Source organism: Homo sapiens, chromosome 12, assembly GCF_000001405.40.
Source record: "Homo sapiens chromosome 12, GRCh38.p14 Primary Assembly".
Taxonomy (NCBI): Eukaryota; Metazoa; Chordata; class Mammalia; order Primates; family Hominidae; genus Homo; species Homo sapiens.
In genome coordinates, this window is record NC_000012.12 from 86,829,469 (window position 1) to 86,839,245 (window position 9,777).

A 9,777-nucleotide genomic window follows, 5' to 3' on the forward strand; every position below is an offset into this window, starting at 1 on the left:
TACTTAAAACTTTCTACAAAATTTAAGGTCCAATATATATTCATTCAAGCTTTAAAATTTCATACAATCTTAGGAGTATTCTATATTTTTTGTTTTCCTCATCTTATTTCAAACAAAAAAAATCAAGTGTATTCATAACTTAGAAATGATTTCAGTGACCTATAGCAAAAAGACTAAGAACTGCAATAATGGTTTTGACATTAATAATGTTTTGGAGGCATAAGTGTTTTGTTCTTTTGTTTCTTTTATAATTGTTGTTACTTATACTGGAGAAAGAAAATTGATCATTTTCTTTTCTGACTTGTCTCTTACATTACAGAGCTTGAAAAGACCTTAAGGTAACATTTCAACAGCAACCTCACAATAACTTGACTATTTTATTTGTTTTTCTTACCCAAAGACAGCAGTACTAGATAAAATGAAGGGAAATTACAAGGCATGTTTACATACATATCGATGTTTTTTTTACATTTATATAATAAAAAATGCATTGCTGGATATATTTTAGAAGTATCCTTAATAAACAAAAGAAAATGGTTTGTTACTGAATTTTACCTCATGAACATATAGGGTAAAATTCCTGTGTAAGAACAATGCAAGTATATACACATATGTCCATGTCTATATCTATGTTGGGTTGCCTATTAATGACTGGAACTGCCTGCCCATGTTTGAGCTTGAGCCTGAGTCTCACTGTCCCTCTTGTCAGTCCATCCATCTCTTTCTGCCCCTGTATGCCCGTTTGTGCTTTTCTACCTGTCTATCCATCCATCTCTCTCTGTGGTATGTTTCACACTGTCTTTCAGTTTGCCTGCCCCTGTCATGGGGTCTGACTATTCCTATCCCATTTTTAATTTCTATCTGTTATTCTGTCACCACATGTGTTTATCAGCCTGTCTCTGTTTCGGTACCTGTAAGGCTGTATGTATTGGTCTCTAAGTATGTATTTATCTGTTTAAGTGTCTGTCTATCCATGACTCTATGTGTACATATGTGAAGATTTTTCCTTTAATGTAGATTTAGTGAATACTATCTTTAAAAATCATTATTGTTTCTTAAGAGATGAGTGTGTATAGTATTGTTTGTGTGTGTATCTATCTCCCAAGCAACTGCCAACTCTATAGGTCCAATCTACATAATGGTAGGACCTAGAGATTACTCATGTTTTTCGAAAGTCAGCTTCTCTTAGCCTATTTAAGACCATGCTCTATTGCATTCTGCCTCTATATTACAAGATGGCTCCTAATGAAACAAACAAACAAACAAACAAACAAACAAACAAACAAACTTGTCACAGGTAGACGTGGATATCTACACCTCAGGCCTCTGCTTTCTAGTTACCCTCCTCCTAAAGAGGAGCTGTGAAGGTTTTATGTGCAATTGTAGCCCCACTCTACATTTCCAAAGAACCTCTACCTCATGGCCTATGTGGGCATTTACTAAAGGTTTAAAGATAACTAGAAGGAGTTTTAAAATAAAAACAAGACATGAAACAAATGCTAAATACAACTGATCTCAAGGTCAAAGGAGAACATATAATAACTCAAATGCTCAGAAAGTTATTTTATGGGCATTTCTCCTTTTCCAACTTGATTTTCAAGATCCAGCCCACCCCCTGCCGACCCCCATTGGAAACCCATGAAGAGTATACCTTTTTTCAATAATTTGCCATGTTAATCTTCATTTCTACATGTAAATTCTACCTATTCTCATAAAGATATCCATTTTCCTTGAATATTCCCAACCTTGAACCCACAATGATAATCGAAAAGAAGAAAGAAAAATCCCTGGTAGATCATTTTCTGAAGCTCGAATCATTCTGGGAGGAACAATACTATGTAGAGGGAGGGTGTCAGAGAGCTACGAGATGAACCACAGGGGTGTTTAATGTTACAAATCCTATACACTTCAGGGTCTATTTGTGATGGGATAAGAAGATGCTTCTCAATATTCTTCCTGTAGACTAAAAATCTGCTTTTCAATCTCCTGCGAGTAAGGCTTGGAAAAAATACAAACACACATGACACCAATGTGTATATAAACACTCTCACATATACACATTTACATCCCTACTCATATGAACATAAAATCTTTCTAGAGATAGTAAATCTAAAGACATATTAAATAAAAATAATTTCAATGCAATGTAATGTACGTAGTTATCCAGGTGTCCAAATAAAAATAGCTAAAGAAATTTTGCTTTGGTATTGTTCTCCTGTGTCCAGGAGTCTACTAAAGACTAAGATGATAGGGCCTAATAAAAGAATTTTCTAAATAATAACAATGTTGTATTAAGGTTCTACATAGGCACAAGCATATATTTTACTTGCATGATAGATATTATAATTAAAACCTGGAATTATTAAGCCTGTTTATTTACATTGCTTGACTTGGGCAGGTGATTGACAACCTTTCTCTTTATGATGATTATATTTCTTGTATTGTATATGGGAATCTGACAATATCACAAAGATTCTGTTGTGAAAATGAGGTGATAGAAGAATAATTTATGAAGTAGATCAACTGTACTTAACATTGCATGGGGGTGCTGGCCTACTTTTCAAGGATGTTCTAACAAATTCAAATTTGGCAATAAAATATAACTCAGTTCTACAAAAAATACTGTAGGCACATCAGATGCATCACTGAACTTAAAAAGGAAAACCCAGGAATTTACACAACATCATATACTTCTTCGAAACAAAGCAGAATTACCACCTGGCAAAGATTTCCCTCAAGCATGTCCCGCCACAAAACCATTCAAGTCTACTCCCTGTGTATTAGAATATTTATAACTATTTGTCAGTTTGGCTTATTCATTATTTCTCTACATAATATGAATTATTAAACTAAGCATGGACTTATTTACTTGCAAAATTAAGCACAAAATTTTTGTAACTTTCAAATTATACCATTTTGTTCTTTAGATTTTCTATAAGTCTGACGTATTTATCCATACTCATTCAGCAAAATATTTTGAAGAAAAAAAGTCCTAAAAAGATAAGTCACATACTCTATGAGAAAAGACAAACAGAAATCACATAATTAACTAGAGTAGCATCATACCTGCGATTTACCTAAACCTGTAAATAAGATTAAAATAAGCACCATATTATCTCTCCTCTTTTTCACTTACAGTGCTATGTAATAGATATTTTTCTACATTTTTATAGCTTTTCTCATAGTAAATATAAAACCGTGCCATGGTTTGAGAGCCATTATAGTATGGTGATTAAATGTGATATTGTGGGACAAAGATTCTGACCCAAACCTTAGCTAACCACGTAATCTACTTATGCTACGTAATCATGGACAGTTGCTTCATCTTTCTTGATTTCCACATTAGTAAAATGATCATAATAGCAAGTACTCTGGAAGGTTGCTAGTAGAATGGACATGAGAAAACACATGTTTAGTAATAGTCTTTACTCCACAGAATGTATTCAACATAAAAATGTTATGATTTTTTTTCATATATCGTTTTAACACTGAAGCTTTTAAGTGTCCATTAACAGTGAACTTAAAATATTGAGGTAGACATTTACATCAAATTGAGATTGTCGGATGTACATTGGTAGAAGAAATTGGTCTAGTTACATTTTTTAGGCTAAAAATAACTGCTGACATTTGTATATTAGACTATCTTGTGCCATAAAACGGAAGTTTAGAAAATTTAGGAAACACCTTACCAAAGTAGGAAATTTGATCAAACTTTGAAAGGCTTTGAAAGTCCTTGGATATCCTAGGAGAGGATAAATTATGTTCCTTGGCCAAATTTGGCCTAAGAATAATTTTTAAATTTTTAACAGTGAAAGAGAGGGAGGAGAAAGAGAACACAGAATAATATGCAACAGAATCTTATGTGGCCTACAAAGTCAAAACATTTATTGTATTACTTTGCTAGGACGGCCATAACAATGTACTACAGACTGGGTGGCTTAAATAACAGAAGTTTATTTTCTTACAATTGAAAGGTTGCAAGTCTGAAATGAAGGTGTCAGCAGGGTTGTATGCTTCTGAGGCCTCACTTCTTGGCTTGTAGATGTCCGTCTTCTCCCTGTGTCTTCACACAGTCTTTCCTCTGTGTAAGTCTGTGTCCAAATTCCCTCTTCTTAGGATACCAGTCCTATTGGATGAGGGCCTACTCTAATGACTCCATTTCAATTTAATTCCCTCATTAATGAACCCATCTACAAATATAGTCACATTCTGAGATATTGGAGGTTAAGTCTTCAATATATGAAATTTAGGGAGACGCAATTCAAACCACATTTTCTGTCTGTTTTTTTGTTTGTTTGTTTTGTTTGTTTTTACAAAAAGTAGTTAGCAGCCTGTGTTCTGGAAGCCTGAGAAGGGTACACCTGACAAGGGAACCAGTAGTTTCCTAGTGCCTCCTTTACTATTTGTCTGACATTATATATAAATTGAGAGAATCACTCAATTTAGAGATTTGCTTTCCCATTACCAATTTGTTTGGCTTATTTTACTTAGCATAATGTCCTCCAGGTTCACCCATATTGTCATAAATGACCAAATTTCTTTCTTTTTTAATGCTGAATAGTATTTCATTGTGTATATATACCAGATTTTCTTTATCCATTCATTCAACGATGGATACCTAGGTTGCTTCCAAATCTTAAAATTTAAATATATCTATCTCTATCTGTCTATATACTTACAGATCTATCTATAGATAGAGATAGATAGATATAGATATAGATATAGATATAGATATAGATATAGATATAGGTCCATCTATAGATAGGTAGATAGATAATTTGCTGAGGGAAAAATGCCTCAGGGAATTAGTGGCCAAGCCAAACCATTTAATTCTAACTTTGGGTCAAAGGGGCAGGGTTTAATATTATGGAAATATTTGCCTGGAGTTAGCCATGGACAGAAGAAGAAAGTAGGTGAGCACAAATCTGTGACCACAAAGGAAGTCTGAAAATCAAAGTAAATAACAGCAAACTCAACATCGGGGTGGACCTGGATGTGGTGATGTTATGACAGAAACAACAATAACCATTAATATTTTTTACTGCTTTACAAGGCCATATAATAGTATTTTGTGACATTTTGTCATTTGATCCATATCACCAAATGAATATGATGATTACCTACTGTCTACTTCCCCCAACCACCACACACACACACACACACACACACCCCTTTACAGATTAGGAAACACAGCTGAAATTATAACATAGGCTTTAATCTCCTTAAGCATTGGGTCAAAATATCCAAAAATAATACAAGAACTTCAATAATCTTTTTATAAATGAAGTCAGATGCCTAACATGTCTCCTCATTGGTGTGTAGGCGGGTTGTAGGTTTAAGACTGGGTTGGCACTGTCAACAGACACTGTCTCTAAAGAAAACAAAAACAAACTCAAATGGTTCATCAGCAAGTACTTGCTTTTGTGTCCACATTTTGACCTAGCTAGAATATGCTAGATACTTTCCTGTAAAGCACCTTCAAAACAATTAGTTGGTGGCTCCCTTTTGTACACAGATAAATTCAATATAACACATGTCTGCCTTTACTTTTTGTGTTAATATTTGGAAACGTACAAAATTTTGTTTCCAAAATTTTCCAAATATCAATGTGTTTCCAAATATCAATACAAAAAGTAAAGACAGACATGTGTTATGTTGAATTTATTTCCCCATATAACTCAGAATCTTAAGGAGTTTTTCTGTATATTTTAAACTTAATATGAGATGCATCTGAGGAATTCAGATGTAGAATTTTTCAGTAGTCTTGAGACCCAATAAAAACAGTTTCTAGCATAGATACTATTTTTGTAAAGATTTAAATTCACAGTTAAGGTCAACATCTGGCTGAATTTAACATTCACATTTGACAGTTTTACTCTCATTAAAAAATGTTTAGCATTTTTTCAAAGCAGAAGCTGTCTTTTATTTTAATAAAGGTCTTCATATATTTGCTTTGTTCCTTGAGGGATGGATTGGTACGCTTGAACTACTCTGTGCAGTTAGAATTTAAGGCCATATCACTAGATAATCCACGTAGCAAAATAAAATGCAAATGAAAAGGGCAAAGGGCACGGTATAATGAGCAAGAGGATTTATTGTCTTGTCTTCTATTTCCATATCCTTTGGGAAAATGTAAAAGTGGGAAATGAGGAATAGTTCTCTCTGCTTTCTCTGGCAAATTATGGTTGATAATTTAGCTATTAGATAACCGTATAGAATATGCCAAGTGATTTCCCAAACTAGTCACTTTTCAATTTTATCTATGCGTAAGTATCCACAGGTTCTTTAATTGCAAACAGTACTCACATGCTCAATGCATTATTTTTATTACTGAAACTGCAAAATAGACATGTGATAATATACATTTACACAGCCAAAACCCCCCTCCACACACACACACAAACACACACACAAACATCATTAAAGAGTCAAATTAATTTCAACTAGAACATCCTTATGGGAAAATATGTGAGAAAATATATGCAAAAATATGTACCATTTATTGAGCATATGCGGTGCACAAACTACGTATTTATTATTTAATTCATGTGATCCCACTCCCAACAAGAATCTAAAATGTAGATACCACTAGTGCCATTATACATATAATGAGACAGAGGTGTATAGAGATCAATTAAACAAACTAGCTTAACGGATTTAAACTTAGTTTGTCTTATCACCAATCCTATTTTCTGTCTACTATAACACTTTGACATGTGAAATATAGTTAAAGGAGAATTTGAAAACAACTTGATGAACAGTCTGGAATCCTCTGTAAAGATAAATTCAAGTCATTGACTGAATATAGGATGTTTCATACCTATAATGCACATAAGCAGCAACTAAAGAGTCAGGCTTCATTTCCTCCCTCTGTGTGTACCAATTAGAGGTCCTGAAATATTAATAAACTGGCTGATTTAGGAGAGAATACCATTACATTTTTTTTTGTCCTACATGTTGCTTGGAAGCAACAAACATATCATGGGCACTCAGTAAATGTTATTTAACGACAACTAATAAAATGAAATTATGGTAATATATTTTGTAATGAACTCACCATAAGATGAGGCAAAGTAAGTTTTAGTACTAAACCTGGAAGTTGAGCAGATTTCAATGGCTGGGTAGGTGAATGAATCCTATGGGGAGGCAAGAGACACTAACATGATTGTGGTAGAGAATGTTAATAAGAGGTCAGATATATAAAATTTTTATTGCACTTTGACAATTGGAGCTGCCCCTCCTGATTTTCATATATGTTATATTCATCTAACATTCAAAAGGCAAATTAAAGAATATATTGCTAAACTTCTATTCTAGCTCCTCCATACCCAAACATGAAGTGACTATTTCATTATCCATTGGTATCATCATTGGTATGATTTTGGAAGAACATGAAATATGTTCCCTGAAATGCTTTCTTTTTTTCCTACTTGTGCCTCCTTTAGCACATTGTTTGAGATTTTCGGAAGAGTCAGTTGTAATTTTTAAAAATAGAAAAGAGAGAGAGAGGATGTTAAATCACTGTATCCTCTGAAAGTCATAAGCCATCGAATTGTAAAACTCTAAGACATTCAGGAGTGTATGTAGTTTCAGAGAGTGCACTTCTGTAGGTTTAAATTAGAGCTGTGAGTTATTGGGGGAGAAACCAGACTGGGAGCAATCTCACTTTTTTAATGCTTTAAAGTGAGTGGAGGGAAAAGGTTCCACAAAGGAGAGAAAGCTTGCCAAATGGAGGAATCCGTAGGGAAATTTTAATTTAAGGCCCTGTTCCTCAATTCCTGTAAAGTTCATGAAAAAAGAAGTACTTAAAAGTCTCTTTGAGGACTTTATACTCTTTTCTCTTTTCCATTTTTTTGCCTTTTACAATCCCTGTGAGGAAAAGAGAAAATGCACTTAAAGTTACGATTTGGGTGACTCAATCCTTCCCTCTTTCCTTTGTTCTAATAGTCTTTCAAATGCTCCAAAGAAATTAGAATACACTTAACAAGTGCTCTTGTGAAGCTTAGCCACCACTTCCTCTCTTGAGCCTGTATTAACCCACTGAAGGGAACACAAACTCTGTGTTCCAGTCCATACAGCAGCAGGTACACCATGCTCCAGGTCAAATATACACCATGCTCCAGGTCAAATATACCTGCTATTCTAACCATTTTTATAGTCATTTTTAACACAGAAAAACAGCAACAATATGATAGATTTCATTGAGCCTATTCACACAATAATAAAACATTAAAAAAAGCTCAAGAGCCCTAATACTACATGTTTATAAGATCACTGTGATTACTATATGCTTCTTTTCTATTCTACACTCCCATTCTCTCTCTGATACAGAACATACACACACACACCTTTAACTTTTCAGAAACAGACACGGAAGTCACCTTTGCTGTTCTAAGATATCATAAGTATAATGGGATAAATTTCAGTTTCGAATAAGGCTTTCTCCCATTTTATCGGTTCTGTTGATATTCAGAAGTTTTTCAGTTTTTAGCATTTTGCTTTGCTAAACATTTCTTGTACTTCTATGAAAGGCATTGAGGTTTTCACTAACAGAACAAAGTTAAATAATAATTTTGTAGCATAATTAACTGAAACTGTAGCAATCAATTTTAGTAAAATCCTTTCAAACTCAAAAATAGATATCTGTAAGGCAAACAATTATATCTACATAATATTATCAAAAAGACTTATACTGAAGTTTCTTTAAATTAAATACTTTCATCATTCAAATATTTATGTATCATACGCATCCATGATACCAAAATAAATACAAGCATTTGAGACAAAGTTTGTATTTTGGAAAATATAAATAAAATACTATGATTGTTTTAAAAGATTCAAAAATACATATGGGTAAGTGAGTTTCCAAAGTACATATTTTTCTTCATTATATATTGCAGCTACAAAAGGAAAATCCTCAAGAGAATTAATATGAACTTATGATAATGCAGCCTGCAGCACGGTTTTGTTGTGATTTTTTCTGTTTTTGCTGACAATGCAATTCAAACTATATTCTACTAATCTTCAGTAAAGGGAGCAGATTATTTCACCTATAAACATGCAGCAATAAAGTGTCATTCTTCAGTCCATACAGACTACTTAACATCTTTCTCTTTTTACAGGTTTGGATCCCTAGCTCATTAGACTATTACCTGATAAAGAAGAGAGGGTAATGAATTGAGAAAATAACTACGTACCTTCAGAGAAAACCTGCCCGATAACAATAATCCATTAGAAAACTGGCAATATCCTCTGATCTATTGCCCGCAAAGCCATGACTTGATGGAGAGTTTCATTCCCTGGGCTCAGTTCTCCAGAAGAAAATCAGCACAATTTAAATATTTCTTGGAATGTGACAGCTCTCTAGATCCCGGGTTGCATTCTGTTCCCCAGGGATGGCAATCTGGTGTTCCTGTGTGCATAGAGCAGTGAAGATGAATTGAAAACGCTTGAGATAAATTAGGAATGGCTAAGTTAAAATTGTCTCTGCTCCAGACTCTCTCATCTGCAGTCTGCAAGCCTGTTTTTCTGTGAAAAAGCTAGATGGCAGGCTGCCTCAGTAAGTTCTTCTTAAGCGACAGAGAGCATTTTCAATGAAGAAAAATTCTCCCATTATCTAAGCTAATGTGACTGCTACTAAATCTAGTTTTTAAAGTGTCTGCTGGCATGAAATTCATTTTCACTATTGCTTTCTTTCAAACTAGTCTAGAATCCACACTATCAGGCTATATACAGTTCTATCTGACAGAAATATTTGAAGTTTTCTCTTTACAAATT

General features: G+C 33.8%; 1 protein-coding gene across 3 annotated transcripts in view; it reads right to left on the minus strand.

Moving 5' to 3' along the window:
• The window catches only part of MGAT4C (MGAT4 family member C), an 883,334-nt gene extending 873,802 nt beyond the window's left edge, over nt 1-9,532 (minus strand). For all 3 annotated transcript variants that reach the window (NM_013244.5, NM_001351286.2, NM_001351285.2), the window contains exon 1: nt 9,198-9,532. The gene's annotated coding sequence lies outside the window, so the exon portion shown is untranslated. The remainder of the gene's footprint in view (nt 1-9,197) is intronic.
• Between the last annotated feature and the right edge of the window lie 245 nt (nt 9,533-9,777).